The sequence below is a fragment of the Homo sapiens genome, chromosome 2 (assembly GCF_000001405.40).
Source record: "Homo sapiens chromosome 2, GRCh38.p14 Primary Assembly".
Taxonomy (NCBI): domain Eukaryota; kingdom Metazoa; phylum Chordata; class Mammalia; order Primates; family Hominidae; genus Homo; species Homo sapiens.
The window spans coordinates 42,436,719-42,458,331 of record NC_000002.12 but is presented as its reverse complement, the minus strand read 5'-3'; the positions used below and the strand labels follow the sequence as shown (position 1 = coordinate 42,458,331).

General features: G+C 39.4%; 1 protein-coding gene and 1 non-coding gene across 4 annotated transcripts in view; one reads left to right on the top strand and one right to left on the bottom strand.

The window, feature by feature from the left end:
• Positions 1–21,613, top strand: part of KCNG3 (potassium voltage-gated channel modifier subfamily G member 3) — a 105,631-nt gene that overhangs the window by 35,651 nt on the left and 48,367 nt on the right. For 2 of the 3 annotated variants that reach the window (NM_172344.3, NM_133329.6), the window contains exon 2: positions 13,753–16,315. In NM_172344.3, the coding sequence (NP_758847.1) occupies positions 13,753–14,398 (646 nt within the window). In that variant the 3' untranslated portion in view covers positions 14,399–16,315. Of the gene's footprint in view, positions 1–13,752; positions 16,316–21,613 lie in introns of those variants that run through there. The other variant, XR_007069666.1, reaches the window with a different exon arrangement.
• On the bottom strand, positions 17,896–17,955 carry LOC124900542 (small nucleolar RNA SNORD75). Its single transcript, XR_007088733.1, has one exon. It is a non-coding gene; the product is annotated as a small nucleolar RNA SNORD75 (small nucleolar RNA).

Below are 21,613 nucleotides of genomic sequence, written 5' to 3'. Positions count from 1 at the left end.
ATGTTCCTGTCTGCTAAGGGAAAGTGAGAAAAGCAAAGGTGGAGGTGATTGCAGGAAAAGAGATCCGACGGAATAATAGCAGCCCCTTAAAAACTGTGGGAGGAGCCCAGTTCTCTGTGGCCAATCCCAATGACTTTGAGAGAGTGAACTTTTCATTCATCATTATCGTTGTCCTGCCACATATCCTAATGAAATGGCCGTCCAAATGTGAGCATGAGGAAACAAAATAGTATCAAGTGAGGAATGTAAAAATTAACACATACATTGACTGTAGCTATATAGGGACATCCATGAATCCCAGGCGTGATTCAAGGTATGACTTAGTCAGTGAGTACATATATTTTGTTTGTTTAAAATTTACTTATTTATATATTGAGATGAGGGGTTTCACTATATTGCTCAGGCTAGTTTTGAAGCCTGAGCTCAAGTGATCTTCCTTCCTCAGCTTCCCAAGTAGCTAGGAGACTACAGGTGCGTGACACCACACCTGGCTTTGTACATTTCTTTTTTTTTTTAGAGATAGGGTCTTACTCTGTTACCCAGGCTGGAGTGCAGTGGTGTGATCATAGCTCACTGCAGCCTCGAACTCCTGGGCCCAAGTGATCCTTCTGCCTTGCCCTCCCAGTGTTGGGATCAGAGGTGTGAGCCACTGCGCCCAGCCTTGTGTGTGTGTGTGTGTGTGTGTGTGTGTGTGTGTGTGTGTGAGATCTGCCTGCCTCGGCCTCCCAAAGTGCTAGGATTACAGGCATGAGCCACCGTGCCTGGCCAGCCTTGTAAATATTATTAACCTGCCATTTATTATCTGTGTGACATGATCTAGTTACTTCTCTCTTTTTTTTTGAAACAAAGTCTCTCTGTCGCCCAGCTGGAGTGCGGTGGCACAATCACAGCTCACTTCAGCTTCAACCTCCCCAGGCTCAAGGAACCCTTTTACCTCAGCCTCCCAGGTTGCTGGGAGTACAGGCGCGTGCCCCCATGCTTGGCTAATTTTTTTTTTTTTTCTGTATTTTGCAGAGATGGAGTTTCGTCACGTTGCCCAAACTGGTCTTGAACTCCTGGGCTCAAGCAGTCTGCCTTTCTTGGCCTCCCAAAGTGTTGGGATTACGGGCATGAGCTACCGCACTTGGCCACTAGTCAATTCTCTTTGGCTTAGTCTCCTCATTTGTAGGTGGGGATCATAACAAAACCTATTGCATACAGTTGTGAGAATTAAGTGAATTAGTATGTAAATGTATAGAAAGATGTTTGGAACTTGAATAAGTGTTCAATTATGTGTTTTAATTTATTATTGATCTAGGTTGGAAGATAAAGAGGTATGAATGGTATATATTTTTTCTCTGTAAGATAATTAAAGTGTGTAAGAAAAAAATCATGTTTTTTTCCTCTCAAAAAAACCCTACTTTTTTCCTATTTAACCAATTGTTGTGGAGAAAACTCTTATAAGGACATGAAAGACTCTAGGTAATGAAGTGGCTGTTGATGTGCAGTTTGCTGGAAATTTTTATTGTGCCTTGTGTTGTTACATTGTACATGCCTGTTAGAAATGTGATTGGAAATGCTTTGTACATTTAAATCTGAAGGCTTGGAGTAAGAAGGTAACTTTTCCTTTTGTGGCACTCCTGGGGTTGTTAAGGCTGATTTAAGCTGCTGATGACTTGATTATGGTGATTGCTCTTCTAGTTGGGCATACTGTTTACTTTCTTTTAAAATGTTTTTAAGTTGGGCTTGAACTGAACTCCTTTTGTAAATAGAAGGCTCTGAGCTCAGAGATGGTTTGCAGTAATAATAATGGTCACAAATCTTTTTTTGTTTGTTTTTTGAGGCTGGTCTCACTCTTGCTTAGGCTGGAATATATGGTGCGATCATGGCCCACTGCAGCCCTGGGCTCAGGTGCTCCTCCTCAGCCTCCTCAGTAACTGGGACTGCAGGCATGCACCATCATGCCTGGCTAATTTTTGTATTTTTTGTAGAGACAGGGTTTTGACATGTTGCCCAGACTGGACTCGAACTACTAAGAAGATGACTCAAGTAATCCTCCTGCGTTGGCCTCCTGAAGTGCTGGGATTACAGGTGTGAGCCACTGCACCTAGCCATATTATTTTTGGAGAGGCTAAAAAATGATTGCAGTCTATGCCTTTCATCTTATACTGATGATTCAATATTTATGGCTTCAAAGAAGTTATAAATAAATTTCATTTTTCCCTGCCAAAACTGTTAAGTTTTATCTTAAAATTCTATTTCAGTGTAAATATGATTAGTAAGTAACAAAGTTATTGGAGTTTGGATTCATATAACATTTCCTTATTTTATATTCTTACACATTATGATATTGTACTATATTTAAAATATACTATATATTATTTTAAATGTAATATAATTATATATGCACATATTATAGGTATATAATAACTATATGTATATAATTATTATTTTAGGTGGTTTTCTGTGTTGGCCTATTGCTTGTGTAATTCATTTAGCTTTTTCAAGTCAGCTATTCAGATTCAGCTTTCAGCTGTACATACATATATATAATTTTTTAATTTTTAATTTTTATTTTTTTTAAGAGACAGGATTTTGGTCTGTTGCCTAGTCTGGAGTGTAATGGAGCAGTCATAGTTCACTGCAGCCCCAAGCTCCTGGGCCCAAGTGATCCTCCCACTTCAGCCTCCCAAGTAACTGGGACTACAGGCACATGCCCCACACTGGCTAATTTTTTGAAAATTTTTAGTAAAGATGAGATCTGACTATATTGTGAGATCTCTCTGTATTCCAAGATCTCCTGGGCTCAAGCAGTTCTCCTGCCTTGGCCTCCCTAAGTGTTGGGATTACAGACATGAACTATTGGGGCCAGCCACAGCTGTTTTTTATATTAATTTTCATAGTTGTCCTTGTAATATTAAATTTTAATCAGGTTCTGTTTGGTGTTAATGACAGGAACAATCTCGTTCAATTCTTCTGAGGTAAAGCAGAATGTAAGTCAAAAATTAATTAATGTCAAAGTCAGTACTGTTTTTGTTTTTGTTTTTCCATTGACCCCACGGGTAGTGTGGCTGAGCAGTCCAACTTGCTGGGCGTGGTGGCTCACACCTGTAGCCTCTAGTACTTTGGGAGGCCAGGAGTTTGAGACCAGCCTGAGCAACATAGCGAGATCTCAGCTCTACAAAATATAAAGAACATAAAAGATAAAAAAGTTCTGTATTAAGGCTCTAGCCTTCTTGGGGGCATAGATTTGTATTCCATCACTGCTCATATGTTTGCTCTTTAAAATTGTAGTAAAATATACATAATATAAAATTTACCATCTTAACAATTTTTAAGTATACCATTTAGTAGTGTTAAGTATAATATATTCATATTGTTATGAAACAGATCTTCAGAGCTTTTTCATCTCATCTTGCCAATCTGAAGCCCTGTACCCATCAAACAACTCTTCTCTTTCACCTTTTCCCAGCTGCCTGTAACTACCATCTTTTTGTTTCTGTGAATTTGACTAGTTTAGATACCTCATGTAAGTGGAATCACAGTGTATTTGTCTTTTTGTGACTGGCTTATTTCACTTAACGTAATGTCTTCAAGGTTCATCCACGTAACAGGATTTCCTTTCTTTCTTTTTTTTTTTCTTTTTTTGAGGCAGAGTCTTGCTCTGTCGCCCAGTACAATGGCACGATCTTGGCTCACTGCAACCTCTGCCTCCCTGGTTCAAGTGATTCTCCTGCCTCAGCCTCCCGAGTAGCTGGGATTACAGGCACCCACTACCACGCCTGGCTAATTTTCGTACTTTTAGTAGAGACGAGGTTTTGCCATGTTGGCCAGGCTGGTCTTTAACTCCTTACCTCAGGTGATCTGCCCGCCTCGGCCTCCCAAAGTGCTGGGATTACAGGAGTGAGCCACCATGCCCAGCTATATTCCAATTTTAAATTCAATATTAAATTCCAAATAGATTCTTTATTTATTCTTTTGTCAGTGGACATTAAGGTTGCTTCGACATCTTAACTATTGTCAGTAATGCTTCATTTGTATTTGTGAAAGTGGGTGTGCAAATATTTCTTTAAGACCCTGCTTTCAATTTTTTTGGATATATACCCAGAAGCGTGATTACTTCAGCATGTGATATTTCTATTTTTAATTTTTCGAGGAACCTCCATACTGTTATGCATAGTGGATGTACCCTTTTACAATCCTACCAACAGTGCTCAAGACACTTGTGATTTTCTGGTGTGATTTTTTTTTTTTTTTTTGGTATAGTAGCCATCCTCATTGTGGTTCTGATTTGCATTTTTCTGATGATTAATAATGTTGGGCATCTTTTCATATGCTCATTGGCCTTATTAACTTTGGAGAAATATCTATTCAAATCCTTTGTCCAGGACAGTCTCTTCAATAAATGGTGCTGGGAAAACTGGACATCCATATGCAAAAGAAACTAGACCCTTTATCTCACTATATTAAAAAAATCAAATCAAACTGGATTAATGACATAAATCTAAGACCTCAAACTATGAAACTACTACACGAAAACATTGGGGAAAATCTCCAGGACATTCAAGTAGGCAAAGATTTCTTGAGCAGTACCCCACCAGCATAGGCAACCAAAGCAAAAATGAACAAATGGGATCACACCCAATTAAGAAGCTTCTGCACAGCAAAGGAAAGAATCAACAAAGTGAAGAGACAACCCACAGAATGGGAGAAAATATTTGCAAACTACCTATCTGACAAGGGATTAAAAACCAGAATGTATAAGGAGCTCAAACAACTCTATAGGAAAAAAAATCTAATAATTTGATTTAAAAATGGGCAAAAAATCTGAATAGATATTTCTCAAAAGAAGACATACGAATGGCAAACAGGTATATGGAAAAGGTGCGTGCTCAGCCTCATTGATGATCACAGAAGTGCAAATCAAAACTACAATGAAATATCATCTCACTCCAGTTAAAATGGCTTTCATCCAAAAGACAGACAATAACAAATGCTGGCGAGGATGTGGAGAAAAGGGATCCCTCATACACTGTTAGTGGAAATGTAAATTAGCACAACCACTATGGAGAACAGTTTGGAGGTTCCTTAAAAAACTGAAAATAGAGCTACCATATGATCCAGCAATCCCACTGTTGAGTGGGTGTATACCCAACAGAAAGGAAATCAGCATATCAGAAAGATACGTGCACTCACTCCCATGTTTGTTACAGCACTATTCATGTTAGCCAAGATTTGGAAGCAACCTAAGTGTCATCAACAAATGAATGTGGCCAGGCACAGTGGCCCACGCCTGTAATCTCAGCACTTTGGGAGGCTGAGGCAGGCAGATTGCCTGAGGTCAGGAGTTCGAGACCAGCTTGGCCAACATGGTGAAACCCCATCTCTACTAAAAATACAAAAATTACCCCGGCATGGTAGCATGCACCTGTAGTCCCAGCTGCTCAAGATGCTGAGGCAGGAGAATCTCTTGAACCCTGGAGGCGCAGGTTGCAGTGAGTCTAGATCACACCACTGCACCCCAGCCTGGGTGACAGAGTGAGACTTCATCTCAAAACACACACACACACACACACACACACCCAGTTGAATGTATAAAGGAAATGTGGTACTTACACACAATGGAGTACTATTCAGCCATAAAAAAGAATGAGGTCCTGCCATTTGCAACAACATGGAACTGGAGGTCATTTTTTTCAGTGAAATAAATCAGGCACAGAAAGACATACTTCTTGTGTTCTCACTTATTTGTGGGAGCTAAAAATTAAAACAAGTGAACTCATGAATATAGAGAGTAGAAGGATGGTTACCAGAGGCTTAGAAGGGTAGCGGGGGTGGTGGGGAAGTGGGTATGGTTAATGGTTAAAAAAAAAATAGTTAGAAAGAATGAGTGAGACCTAGTATTTGCTAGCACAACAGGGTGACTATAGTAAAAAAATAATTTAATCTTACATTTTAAAGTAACTAAAAAAGTATAATTGGATTGTTTGTAACACAAAGGATAAATGCTTTAGGTGAATTTGAGGCTGCAGTGAGCTATGACTGCTCCATTATGCTCTAGCCTGGGTGACAGAGCAAAATTCTGTTTCCTTTAAAAAAAAAAAAAAAATATATATATATATATATATATATTTACCACCCCATTTACCCTGATGTGATTATTATGCATTGCATGCCTGTATCAAAATATCTTATGTAACCCATAAATATATACACCTACTACGTACCCATGAAAATTAAAAATAAAAAATTAATCTAAAAAATCCTTTGTCCATTTTTTAGTTGGGTTGATTTTTTTTGTTGTTGTTACTGAGTTGCAGGAGTTCTTTGTATGTCCTGTAAATTAATTCTTACTCAGATAAATGACTTGCAAATATCATCTCCCATTCTGTAGGTTGCCCTTTCACTCTTGATTGTATCTTTGTTGTTGTTGTTGTTGTTGTTTTTGTTTTTGAGGTAGGGTCTCACTCTGTTGCCCAGGCTGGAGTGTAGTGGCAAGATCATGGCTCCCTGCAGCCTTGAACTCCTGGGCTCAGGGGATCCTCCCACCTCAGCTTCCCAAGTAGCTAGGACTACAGGCACACACCACCACTCCCTGCTAATTTTAATTAATTAATTAATTTTTTTGAGACAAAGTCTTGCTCTGTCGCCCAGGTTGGAGTGCAGTGGCACGATCTCAGCTCACTACAACCTCCACCTCCTGGGTTCAAGCAGATTCTCCTATTTCAGCCTCCTGAGTAGCTGGGATTACAGGCGTGCACCACCACGCCCAGCTAATTTTCGTATTTTTAGTAGAGACGGGGTTTCACCATGTTGGCCAGGCTGGTCTCGAGCTCCTGACCTCAAGTGATCCACCCACCTCAGCCTCCCAAAGTGCTGGGATTACAGGCGTGAGCCACTGTGCCCGGCCCCCTGCTAATTTTAAAACATTATTTGTAGTAGAGATGGGGTCTTGCTTTGTTGCCCAGGCTGGTCTTGTACTCCTGGGCTCAAGCAGTCCTCCCACTTCAGCCTCCCAAAGTGCTGAGATTACAGGTGTGTGTCACTGCCCCTGGCACACACAAAAAAATGCTATTCTAATGTAAACCCTGGAGACCAAATGGTTGACATATACCATTTAATCTTTTTTTTTTTTTTTTTTTTTTTTTGAGTTGGAGTCTTGCTCTGTCACCCAGGCTGGAGTGCAGTGGTACTATCTCAGCTCACTGCGACCTCTGCCTTTCAGGTTCAAGCAGTTCTCCTGCCTCAGTCTCCCGAGTAGCTGGGATTACAGGCGCCTGCCACCATGCCCAGCTAATTTTTGTATTTTTGGGAGAGACAGGGTTTCACCATGTTGGCCAGGCTGGTCTCGAACTCCTGACCTCAGGTGATCCACCTGCCTTGGCCTCCCAAAGTGCTAGGATTATGGGCATGAGCCACTGCTTCTGGCCCCATTTAATCTTAACAATGGACATTGTCATAAAATCATTTGCATTTCCAAATGCTCCTTTTAGCTTTAAAATCTTGTAGATCTGGGTTTCATTACCTGTGTAATTGCAGCTTCTTAGTTGTGTGACCTTGGAAAAGTGCTTAACCTTTCAGCCTCAATTTTGTCATCTGTAAAGCGGAGATACTAGGGGAAATACATATTTCATAGACTTCTTGAAAGGGATCAGACGAGATGATGTCTGTAAATTGCTTAGCACAGTGCCCAACTGAAAGGCATCAGTCAGTGGTGAATATTTTTATTAGGCATACATTCATGAACATCTATATGTTTGGAACTCAGAAGAAATCAGAATCGGCTTCAAAGGAATGTGATGTATCTTTAGTTTCTTTTTTCCTGTTTAATTTTACAGAAGTAACCTCCGGGAATACCCAATTGTTTGCTCTTGTGCTCAGTGAACAGTACTCAGTTTTTCAGCAGTTGTCAGTGGTGGCATTGGTGAGAGTGCCATTTGGAAACATGAGGAATTTTGGCAGGCTTGGTGGTGTTTGTTGCTAGAGACTGCCTTGGCATAATTGAAGGTGAAAATGATGCCTGGGGTTTCTCACTGATTCATCCCTTTGGTGTGCAATTCTGAATAAACTGCATCTGACCTAAGGTGTGGGCAAGCAGAACCCTGAGGACCTCATTACAGACGAGCTTACTTCTTTGAAATTCCCTTATTGAGAGATTATTCCACACCATTTGGATTTCCTCCTTCTTAGTCATAACAACTTTGGCTGCTGCTGGAAATAATTAGACAGAAAATGTTCTGGTATTTTTGGCACAATTGACATTTTTACTCTTCTGAAATTAATAGAATCTTAGGATTTTAGAGCTGGGAAGGTCCTTATAAGATCCATGTAAATCTGCCACTTGATGGTGAGGCTTGTCCTTCAGAATGGAAAGAGCACAGAGCCTCTGATGTCAAGTTCAGTGCCCTTGCTTGTGTCTGGCTAGATAAGAGACAGAGTATGTTAGCTGGAGAACTGGTACATCTTACCCACAAGCCAATCTAAGGAAACTATTATTATCACTGCTGCGTGCTCCTGCAATCCCTTTTAAGTGCACATCTTACTACTACCTACCATATTTACCAGTTTACTACCTAAGATAGCAACCAATTTAGAAATCCCAGGCTGGGTGCGGTGGCTCATGCCTTTAATTCCAGCACTCTGGGAGGCCAAGGCGGGTGGATCACTTGAGGCCAGGTGTGGTGGTGCGCGCCTGTAATCCCAGCTACTCAGGAAGCTGAGGCAGGAGAATTGCTTGAGTCCGGGAGGTGGAGGTTGCAGTGAGCCAACATCGTACCACTGTGCTCCAGCCTGGGTGACAGAGTGAGACCCTGTCTCAAAAAAAAAAAAAAAAAAAAAGAAATCTCAGTGGCTTAACACAACAGCAGACTTTTTTTTTTTTCAATGATAGTAGGTACTTTAGGTTTTGCAGAGCTATATGGTTTCTGTCATGACCACTCAACTTTGCTGTGAAAACAGCCATAGACAATGTGTAAATGAGTGAGCATGGCTGTGTTCCAATAAAACTTTATTTATGGCCACTGAAATTCAAATTTTACATAATTTGTACATGTCATAAAATATAATTCTTTAGATTTTGTTTTTTCCCCCAATCATTAAGAAAAATAAAAAAATAAAATTTATGTTGGAGGAGCAAGTGCTTACGAATAACCAGGACAGTCTTGAAAAGGAAGAACACAATTGAGTGATACATTCAACTAGACATCAAAACAAAGTACACTCATTTCTCGGTACATGTAGGATGTTGGTTCCAGGACCCCCCACATATACCAAAATCTGAACATACTCAAGTCCCTCAGTGGGCCCTGGGAAACCCAAGTATATGAAAAGTTGGCTGTCTGTATAAGCATGTTTTTTTGTTTTGTTTTTTTTTTTGAGACGGAGTCTCGCTCTGTCACCCAGGCTGGAGTGCAGTGGCGCGATCTCAGCTCACTGCAAGCTCCACCTCCCAGGTTCATGCCATTCTCCTGCCTCAGCCTCCCAAGTAGCTGGGACTACAGGCACCCGCCACTGCGCCCGGCTAATTTCTTGTATTTTTAGTAGAGAACGGGGTTTCACTGTGGTCTCGATCTCTTGACCTCATGATCCGCCCGCTTCGGCCTCCCAAAGTGCTGGGATTACAGGCATGAGCCACCGCTCCCGGCCATAAGCGTGTTTTACTTCCTGCGAATACTGTATTTTTGATCACATTTGGTTGAAAAACAAACTGCCTATAAGTGGATCCTTGTGATCAAACCCATGTTATTCAGGGGTCAACTGTAATGAAAATTGAGAGTAGCATAGTATAAGATAGAATGGATCGATCAGATATACCTGAGTGAAGTTCTGAACTTTCCACTCTGGAAAGTGGAAAATCAAGAATTTTACTTAGGTGTGATTGGTAATTTAATGTATGATAAAAGCCACCATTTCAAACCAGTGGGGGAAAAAAATTAGGAACCATTCTTAGGTTGCATGCCATACAAAAAATAAATAAATAAATAAATAAATAAATAAATAAATAAATAAGTGGGAAGTGGGCAGGATTTAGACCCCGGGCTATAGTTTGTCAAACTCTGTTACTAAGAAATTTACAGGCAAAGGCTCTGGAATCATTTTGCAAAACTGGTATTTCAAGGAACAGTAGTCCTGGCCTGATACTCTGAAGGATATTCCTACTGTTTCTGAGCAGATTAAAGCCTTTGTGAGCAAGTGATACAGACAGGTCACAGAGCAGGCCGTTAAACATGTGCAAAGATGCTCAACATTGCTCAAAATAAGCTAGCACTTTTCATCTCTCAGAGTGGCAGAGACCTCCAAGTTCAACAATACTTTACATTAGTGAGGCCGTGGGGAATAGACACTCCTATGCATTGCCTGTGGGTGGGTAATTTGGTACAACCTCTGTAGGGGTAGCTTGGCAAGATCTATCAAAATTACAAATACATATGTATCTTCTCTGATCCAGTAATTCCAAGTCTCAGATTTATTCTACAGATATATCTGCTCATGTGGGAAATGATATACAAACGTATTCATTGCATTGGCTGGGCTCATGCCTGTAATTCCAGTGCTTTGGAAGGCCAAGGTGGGCAGATTGCTTGAGCCCAGGAGTTCGAGGCCATTCCAGGCAACATAGCAAGACCCCATCTTTATAAAAAGTATAAAAAAAAGAAAAAAAAAGAAAAAAAATTAACCAAGTGTGGTGGTACGTGCCTTAGTCCCAGCTACTTGGGAGCCTGAGGTGGGAGGATCGCTTGAGCCTGGGCATTTGAGGCTGCAGTGAGCTGTGATGGTGCCACTGCACTCCAGCATGGTTGACGGGAGTAAGACCCTGTTTCAAAAAAAAAAAAAGAATATTCATTGCATCAGTGTTAATGTTCATCTGGTGGACTGGTTAAATAAATCACAGTACATTCAGTGGAACACTGTGTCACCATGTTTAAGAAATGAGGGAGCTCTCTATTTACTGATTTGGAATGACCTCCAAGATATATTAACCAAATGAGGCAGGGCAATTAGTGTAACATGCTACTATTTGTGTAAAAGGAGATACATACATATATATGTGTGTATGTATGTATCTGTATGTATATATATATACATGTATGTACATATATATACACATGTAAGTAAAAATTTTTGTTTGTTTGTACATACATCAAATAGCTCTGGAAGGATGCATAAGAAAGTGATTATATTTGTTGACTCCAGGGAGGGGAATTGGGTGGCTGGAATAGTGTGAGAGGTGAGACTTTTCCCTTCCCCTTCCTCATCCCTTTTTTTTTTTGAGGCAGGTTTGCTGTCTGTCACACAGGTGAGAGTGCAGTGGTGTGATCATGGCTCACTGCAGCCTCAATCTCCTGGGCTCAAGCAATCCTCCTGCCTCATTTTTTGTAGAGAGGAGGCCTCACTATGTTTCCCAGGCTGGTCTTGAATTCCTGGGCTCAAGCTATACTCCCACCTTGGCCTCCCAAAGTGCTGGGATTACAAGTATAAGCCACCATGCCTGGCCTGAGACCTTTCTTTCTATATTCTTTTTTTAAAATCATGTGATTTAAGCCATGTGAATGTGAATACCTATTCAGAAAATAAAAGTTAATAAAGTTAATCTTTACAGCCCTGTAAAGCCCTACAATAGGGAAACATGGTTAATTGTATTTATTCATTTTTATGAGTAACATCAAGTACCACTTGTGTTCTGTGGAATGCACTTTGAGTAATTCTTTTCAAAATGTTGCCCCACCTACTCTCCTCCCACTTACTCCAGTTTCTTCTCTCTCCATTGTACTTCTGATGTTTGGGTTTAAGTTAGTGGTGAGAAAGAATTATGTGGAGAAAAACAAGTGATGGTATAATAATTATAAATTTTAATTTCGAATGTTAAAAATTTTGGGCTGGGCATGGTGGCTCATGCCTGTAATCCCAGCACTTTGGGAGGTCGAGGTGGGCGGATCACTTGAGGTCAGAAGTCTGAGACCAGCCTGGCCAACATGGTGAAACCCCGTCTCTACTCAAAATATAAAAAAATTAGCCAGGCGTGATCGCGCGCGCCTGTAGTCCCAGCTACTTGGGAGGGTGAGGCACGAGAATTGCTTGAACCCAGGCGGCAGAGGTTGCAGTGAGCCGAGATTGTGCCACTGCACTCCAGCCTGGGTGACAGAACGACACTCCATCTCAATTAAAAAAAAATAAAAAATGTTAATTAAATTTAAAATTACCTTCAAATTACAGCTCACAGGGCCAGAGGTGTTGAAATTTGATTTTCTCAGCTTTGGGGTTTATGGGCTGAGGGCTGGGGGCCTAGAGCTCCCAGGATGCAGGCTTCTTCAAGAATCCTACCCGTTGGCTGGGTGTGGTGGCTCATGGCTGTAATCCCGACACTTCGGGAGGCTGAGGTGGGCAGAACAACTGACGTAAGGAGTTCGAGACCAGCCTGGCCAAAATGGTGAAACTCCATCTCTACTAAAAATACAAAAATTAGTCACGCATGGTGGCAGACGCCTGTAGTCCCAGCTACTGGAGAGGCTGAGGCAGGAGAATTGCTTAAACCCGGGAGGCAGAGGTTGCAGTGAGCTGAGATCGTGCCACTGCACTCCAGCCTGGGCGATAGCGTGAAACTTCATCTCAAAAAAAAAAAGGAATCCTATCCCTTGACTGCAGTGTGCTGTATAAATGCGATTATTTTCAGTGCATGCAGTAATGCAGAAAGGGTGGTAAATATTGCTCTAGGTAAAATGTGGTCTTTTAAAAATATGTGCTGTGTAAAAATGATGATGGAATACAAAGTATTTGTGGTCTTTGGGAAAATCCTAGCGGCCATTTTGCTCCAATGTGGGAGTCCTCGGCCTCGTTTCTGCTGGGACCTTTTTAGGATAGTTGTGACCTGGTGAGTTTCTGGTGAGGGCACTCACCCAGTTCCCCATAAACTTGCTCGGTGCCAGTATCTCCCATACAAGCCTATTGGGAAGGAAGGACGATTCACGTTTTAGGAAATGATCTTGCATTGACTGTAAGTTACCAAGAAATAGCCCATCAAAAAACTTAGATAGGTCCACATTCTATAGGAATAATGCCCTTCCAATCCACCTCAGAACTCGTATCACAGCTGAGAACCACTGTCCTGCAAGAGTAAGTTAAATTTCATGTTGTGGCCAACTGAAGATAAGTTAATTTCAAACTACCAAATAAGAGAGATATTTTTTAAAAGTATTAGTGACAAGTAAAAAACAAAATTTAATAGTATTGTAGCATAGAAGTAAGAACTTTATCAAGTTCAATTTTTTTTTTTTTTTTTTTTAATTTTTGAGACAGGGTCTCTTTCTGTCATCCTGGCTGGAGTGCAGTGGCACAGTCATGGCTCACTCTGGCCTTGACCTTCCCAGGCTCAGGTGATCCTCCCACCTTAGCCTCCCAGGTAGGTGGTACTACAGGTGTGTGTCACCAAGCCCAGCTGATTTTTGTATTTTTTTTTTGTGGAGACGGGGTTTTGCTGTGGTGCCCAGGTTGGTCTCGAACTCCTGGGCTCAAGCGATTCACCCACCTCAGCCTTCCAAAGACCTGGGATTACATGCATGAGCCACTGCACCTGGTCTCAATTTTCATCTGAATTGATTTGTTGTTCTGTTGCGTGCATCCTGGTGGTCTGATGATGTTGCTAATGTTGTCTGTTCTTTATGTTTTCTGGAAAAGTAACTGAATTAGTATGTCAGTGTAGTACTATCTGAAGAAATCTAAGAGCTATTAAAATGCTTAAAAATAAAATGATCAATTCTTCTTTTGTTCTCTTGACAGGATAATTGAAGCTATCTGCATAGGTTGGTTCACTGCCGAGTGCATCGTGAGGTTCATTGTCTCCAAAAACAAGTGTGAGTTTGTCAAGAGACCCCTGAACATCATTGATTTACTGGCAATCACGCCGTATTACATCTCTGTGTTGATGACAGTGTTTACAGGCGAGAACTCTCAACTCCAGAGGGCTGGAGTCACCTTGAGGGTACTTAGAATGATGAGGATTTTTTGGGTGATTAAGCTTGCCCGTCACTTCATTGGTCTTCAGACACTCGGTTTGACTCTCAAACGTTGCTACCGAGAGATGGTTATGTTACTTGTCTTCATTTGTGTTGCCATGGCAATCTTTAGTGCACTTTCTCAGCTTCTTGAACATGGGCTGGACCTGGAAACATCCAACAAGGACTTTACCAGCATTCCTGCTGCCTGCTGGTGGGTGATTATCTCTATGACTACAGTTGGCTATGGAGATATGTATCCTATCACAGTGCCTGGAAGAATTCTTGGAGGAGTTTGTGTTGTCAGTGGAATTGTTCTATTGGCATTACCTATCACTTTTATCTACCATAGCTTTGTGCAGTGTTATCATGAGCTCAAGTTTAGATCTGCTAGGTATAGTAGGAGCCTCTCCACTGAATTCCTGAATTAATGCATTGCAAATCAATTCTTGCATACACTTCATAGAAAGACTTTGATGCTGCTTCATATTTATGTGTTTCTTGCTGGGTGAGCACTGCAGTGGCATTGTCATCATCTTGGTAGGGTAAAAATTATCCTTCCCAGCCGAAGGGATAAAACAGTTTACTTGTTATGGAGTAAATAGAATTGAGACTGCAAAGGAAGAATAATGACTCCTAGAGTAAACTTTAGGACCCGGTTTTATTTAGACTTGTTTTCCCGTTTCCTTGAATGATTACACATTTTTAAAAAATACATTATTTGAACATTTTAAAACAGAAAGGTACTATTTTCCAAATGTTTTTCCATCTTATGAATTCAGAAGAAGCTTGGAACTTATAGTGTTTTTTGTTTGAGAGTAACATTTTCATTTCTAAATGTTTTATAATTTCTCATATCAATGTCAGAAGTATCCTGGAAACATATGTCACATGCGGGAACTGTTTAACAAATACTTTAAAAATTTGGCCAAAATTTAAACTGTATAATGGAGCTAGATACAAGCAAGAATAGTATTTGAAAGACTTTTCCAGCATACTTCTCAATTCTTTGCTTTATTTTTGTGCCAATTATTCACCTTATCGTGCCGCTTCATGGAAGCTTGAGTATGTTCTCCCTTTTCCATTTTGGATTTATCTCTTTACTGTAATGACTCAAAAGGTATTTAAGAATTGACGAGAGCTTGTGTTGTTTAGCATCTTACTGGATAATATTTGAATTCATTGCTGTTCCTAGGTGATAACTGTCCTAATATTTAGATGTCCAAACAAGAATACTTCCAACATAAAAATTATAATAGGAATAATTTGAGATGACTCAATATTACAACCTCTTCTTCTCTTAACCTCCTCCCCCAAACACTAGAGGTTTAATAAGACTTATCAGATGAAAGGATATTTATATAGCCTTTTAGTAGCAAAGTCATACTTACGTGTTGTCACTGGATTATCATAAAAGGGAGAAATTAAATATTACTGTACTCTTAGTTGCTGTGTAGCTAAGTCAATTTTAAGCCAGTAAAAGCGATGGATACATAATGATTTGATCTGATCTTTAACTATTGTGAATCACAGCTACACCAAAACTCTTCTTGTAAGAATACTGACTAATATGCCATGTTAATCTGGCTAGATTATTAGGACTAGATAATGTAAAAGTGATGATTGTTTAGTAACTAAATTTTAGCAACAGAAATTAGAATTTTGCTTTTTCAACCAGTTACCATAAAGAAGTTAGTGTATATATAAACACAAATAATTAGTGACAGATTCATAAAAAATTGAATGTTGTACACAGTAATTTTGTCAGAGGTAGAGAAGACAGGGATTGGGAAGTGGTGGGTGATGGAGGACCTGGATATATTTATCAAATAAAGGGTTACCAGAAGTGTTCATTAAAGGAATTTTAGCCATCATCTAGTTCAAACCTCAACTATTACAGGTAGAAAATCAGGGCAGGAGAGAATATAATTGTGAAGGAGTCAGGGCTAACACCTGGATCTCCAGAAACCTAGCCCAGCAGGTTAATCTTCACACATCTCTGGGTTCTGAGAAAAGCCTGGAAAAATCACACTTCTTTGTCATTGTCATGCTGAGGTAATAATAGCAAAACTGTTTTCTTTCCCTTAATTTCCTTTCCTAAGCTTATGTAATAGTTTGGCCATTAAATATCTTGCCCTATTTTCCCTATTACTGCTAGTATGCTACTTCTTACATACCCAAAAGAAATTCAGTTATTTATTGTATATTTATTGTATTCTAATATAATTGAAATAAATGGCATGGATTTATTTTTTCTTAACTATTTGGATTAAAGCTTTGTGGTTCATGCAAACAATGTGCAGATGATAGCACCTCCATATTACTAATAAAAATATGATAACCATCAATTTTACTGGTACTGGGACCGCTTTATGTGAATATGTCCTATCTTCCCAAGTAAATTATAACTGTCTTGAGAGCTGGGATCCTCTCTCATGCATACACCTTTGTATCCCCGACAGTGTCTGTTACAGACTTGGGCACAAACAGTTGACTGATTTGAGGGGAGAAACTTCTGTGTGAAGAGACGAGGAGAAGCATATACCTATAGGTATATATATACACACACACCTATATATATATATTTTATACATACATATAGGTATATATATGTGTATATATTTTATATATAGGGATATGTGTGTGTGTATATATATATATAATGTACATGTGCAAATATACACACAGACTTCATGCTACCCTTAGGTAACAAGTGTGAAATCTCTTGTTGGTGATTCCAGACTTTCCATAGGACCGATTTTCATAAAGAAGCATGTTGGGTAAATACTAGTGGCAGTTAAGCTACCCATTTATAAGGAGACGATGAGACGTGATAGAGTAGTTCATTCATAAATGAAAAAATATGTATTAGGGTTTTGTCTTCATGGATGTTGTGTTTTTTTAGGAACAGCATTTTATTGTAACGTTCCCTGAGCGTTGCTACTTTTATCATTATTTATCTATTTATTTTTTTCTAGAGATAGAGTTTTGCTTGGTTGCCTAGGCTGGAGTGCAGTGGTGTGATCATAGCTCACTGCAGTTTTGAACTCCTGGGCTCAAGCAGTCCTCCCACCCCAGCCTCCCAAGTTGCTAGGACTATAGGTGTGCATCACCATGCTGGTTAATTTTTTAATTTTTATTTTTTTGTAGAGATAGGGGTCTCACTGTGTTGCCCAGGCTTGCCTCAAACTCCTGGCCTCAAGCAGTCCTCCCACCTCAGCCTCTCAAAGCTCTGGGATTATGGGCATGAGACACTGTGCCTGGCCTGTTGCTGCTTTTTTAAAAAACCATTAAGTATCACTTCTTTCTTAGCTATACTTACAGACATCTCTTATAACTCAGTCTTTTCATGGCAGAAATGTTTTCATTAATATCTGTATTGGTACCAGTAAGTCAGACATTATCCTAAATTAAAATACCCAAAGAGGAAAAAAGCCCTAATCTCCTAATCTTTAATCTGATTTTACCACACCTGAATTTACATGACTTGATCTAATATGTAACTTGTTTTGTATTCTCTAAAATGGGAGTTTTAGGATTACAAACACAAAATTAGGGAATATATTTGAAAGTGAACAAACTAACAATTCAAGGCTTTCATTACTGTATTGTCCTTGTTGCTAATTGAAACAGTTGCATTTGTTCTTGGGTTTGGTCATTACCTATAAGTACCCATTTGTAAGTTCATACTTTCTGAAAAGTTATTTCCACAATGGCTGTCAATAAGTCAAAATTATTTGTCTTTTTAAACCTTTGTCCAGATGTCCTGTGATCTGGAAGAGGTGGAGATGGGGTTAATTTGGATGTTGGTGTTGGGAGAATTTTCCCTGTTGGCTTGGTATTTGCTAATAGCAGTTTATTTTCCTTTTTTTTTTTTTTTTTTAAAGAAAACAGACAAAAAGATGCAAAACAATATTTGAAATATTAAAGCCTCAGGATAGAATTTCAGACATCCCTTCTGTCCACTTCACCTCTTTTCCATAGAAATGAAAAATAAAACATTGAAAGCTCCTAGCTCTGTATTACTATTCAGCTGTGTAACTCCAAACTTAATGCATAGTGTCATAGAATATTTCGAGTCCTCTGACCCTTCATAAATGTGCATTCCCTTATGGTGTGTAATATACAATTCAATCAGACATAGTCTAATCATTTTATAGGGTCATAGGAAGTTGGAACTAGGGGTTGTGGAAACCTTCTGGTCTATTTTGGCCCAATTGTATGCCTTTTGTCCGATCCAAATATTAGCAACCAGGGAACTCTGCTCCCAGTGGGTTGTAATTTAGCCATGGTCACTCTAGTGTCAGGTTAGGTCCCAGAAGCTTGATTTCCAGACTTTTGGCTTAGTACTCTGGATATACTTCCTTTAAGAATCTTGTAACTTCGGAAGCCATGAAGGATTTCTTTTAAAAATATTTTCTTGGCCAGGCATGGTGACTCACGCCTGTAATCCGAGCACTTTGGGAGGCCGAGGCGGGTGGATCACCTGAAATCAGGAGTTCGAGACCAGCCTGGCCAACATGGTGAAAACCCATCTCTACTGAAAATATAAAAACTAGCTGGGCATCGTGGTGCCTGTAATCCCAGCTACTTGGGAGGCTGAGGCAGGAGAATCACTTGAACCAGGGAGGCAGAGGTTGCAGTGAGCCGAGATCGCGCCTTTGCACTCCACCCTGGGTGACAAAAGTGAAACTCCGTCTCAAAAAAAAAAATTTTTTTTTATTTAGGGCTTTGGTGTTCCCCGTATTTTTCCTTTTTCTTTTTCTTTTTTTTTTTTAACGTTTGAATTAAAAAGCAATTATTGCCGGGCATGGTGGCTCACGCCTGTAATCCCAGCACTTTGGGAGGCCAAGGTGGGCAGATCACTTGAGGTCAGGAGTTCGAAACCAGCCTGGCCAACATAGCGAAACCCTGTCTCTACTAAAAATACAAAAAATTAGCCAGGCTTGATGACACGTGAATGTAATCCCAGCTACGCAGAAGGCTGAGGCATGAGAATTACTTAAACCTGGCAGGTGGAGGTTCCAGTGAGCTGAGATCGTGCCACTGTACTCTAGCATGGGTGACAGAGGGAAACTCTCTCTCTCTCAAAAAAATCATATATATATATATACAATAATATATAATTGACAGTTTATTTTTATAATAAAAATAATATTGCTTTTAGAAGCCTTAGATGTCAAGAAGGAGGGCTTGAGACAAATGCATAAGTAACTCAGATTTTCTCTAGAATTTTAAAAATTACTGTACAGTTGTGCACTCATCCACATGTATCCAAATAAGTACAGGTATTTGATAGTTGTCACTGCATTATTCAGGACATTCTCAGAACCAGGCTGAGAAATGTCAAGTAACATGGGTTGAAGCTTTGATGGAATGTTCTGGAAAGTTCCATTTTGGTCAGGAAAGGTTGCATCCATTTACTTCTGTGTCTGTTCAGTGTTCTTTCCTATGGTGTTTCACTTCCTGATTTTCCAGAGCCCATCTGCACTCAGAAACCTGGGCATATCAGTTCTGCTTCTGAAAGTAGACTAATGATTTACTGCCTCATTTGCAGTGAAGCCTTCCATAGATTTGTGAAATGTCATCCAGAAGCATGATTATATTGTCCCATTCTGTGGTTAACTTATGCCCAAACTTTCAGATTTTTCTAGATCTTCCAAATATTTTCAGTAAGTACTGGAGCTTTTGACTGTTAGCATAAGCTCAATTGTCAGTTTACTACTATTTGCTTAGAAAATTGAACTTGATAATCTGCATTTATGCTGTAATTTAAACAAATACATTTTAAGTAGCTTTGGTGGGAATTCTTTGGTTTATCGTTTAAAATATCAACAAGACTATACCAAATATAACATTTAGTACATGAAAGTGAAGGGAGAATATTATTTGGCTTTCACCTACCAGGAGTAAGTGATTCTATGTTATTTATATCTGAAGGAGTGCTTTGATGTACTTATTTATGCAGCATTATATTAAAACTAAAACTAAAATTTCCCGTAATTTTATATTAGATAGGATCACTATTTCTGTTATTTGGAAATAATTCTATAGTTCTGCCCATGACAGAGTGGAGGCAGTTTGTAGTGTGTATTGGTTTGTTTTTGTTTTGTAGTAGAGACAGGGTCTCCCTATGTTACACAGGCTGGTCTCAAACTCCTGGGCTCAAGCAGTGACATCTGCTGTAGTAATATACGATGATTTGTTCAACTTAGGTATTATTTTTCAACTGCATATTACAACCTCGATCTTATAACTCTGATGGAATTCCATGCTTTCTTTCTCTACAATATAGAGGGCAAGATAATTTTACTTTCTTAGTAGAGAGTAATATTTATAGTTACAAATTCTGAGCTGTGATAAAAATGGAACGTTTATTATGTGATTGTAGTGACAGAAAATTTTTTTTTTTTTTTTTTTTTTTTGGAGACAGAGTTTCACTCTTGTTGCCCAGGCTGGAGTGCAATGGCACAATCTCAGCTCACTACAATCTCCACCTCCTGGGTTCAAGCAATTCTCCGGCCTCAGCCTCCCAAGTATCTGGGATTACAGGCGCCCACCAACATGCCCTGCTAATTTCTGTATTTTTAGTAGAGATGGGGTTTTGCCATGTTGGCCGGGCTGGTCTCGATCTCCTGACTTTATGTGGTCTGCCCACCTCAGCCTCCCAAAGTGCTGGGATTACAGGAGTGAGTCAACACACCCAGCCCACATATTTATTTTTTAAAACCATACCTATGTCAGTGCTGTTTGGCAAAATAAAAAAAAATTAAACCATATCCACGCTTTTATACTATACACTCTGAAGTAAAATGCAAATCATAAAATCTGTGTAAGGCTTAACTTTCAGATCTATGTGAAGGTTGTTTATTTTTGTTCCTAGGACAGAGGTAGAAACTTTAGATGTTTTGCTTTGAGATAAACTGCTTAATCTCTTACCTATATTTTTTATTCAGTAATTCTTACCATTTGGAAGGCTCTTAAAAACAAAGAATAATACAAATCACATAAATATTCTAGTTTTAAAGTTAGAATCGTGGGTCATGGTTGCTTTCTTTCTAAGATTCGACTTATATTAATTTAATCAAAACCACTTATTAGATTCCCAGTTAACCCTGTTTAAAAAGATCAGAAACTGGGCACACACATGTTTGTGTGTCTTTTTCTTAAATATATATTTTTTATGTATGCATCTTTTTGTGCTGTGGTACAAGGTGGAGATAGGAACACTATAGCATGTAAGAAATAATTAGGTGCACCCCACTTCATGTAATAGATAGGTTTCCAGACATTCGTATGGGAAAAAAGGGTTGTAAATGTCTTCATATTTTACCTAATGGTAGATATGTACAGGAACTCAATTAGGGAATCTAACCTGTGGGTCACCCTTCTGTTGTGTTACCTATCATCCCCTAAAGGAGATTTTAAAAAAAATTTCATTTTTCATGCATGTATGAAAGAACAAGTTCTTTTGAGAAGGGCATTCTTGTATAAGGGTCAAAACAGAATCAGATTTTATTAAAAAGCCAGCGTGTGTAAAATCAGATTTGAGGAATTACAATGTTTGACCTAAGGATGAGGAATTTTGTCAACCAAGAAAGTGTGGTTTTTATGGTCCTCACAAAAGTTTTCTAAGGGGTAGCTGG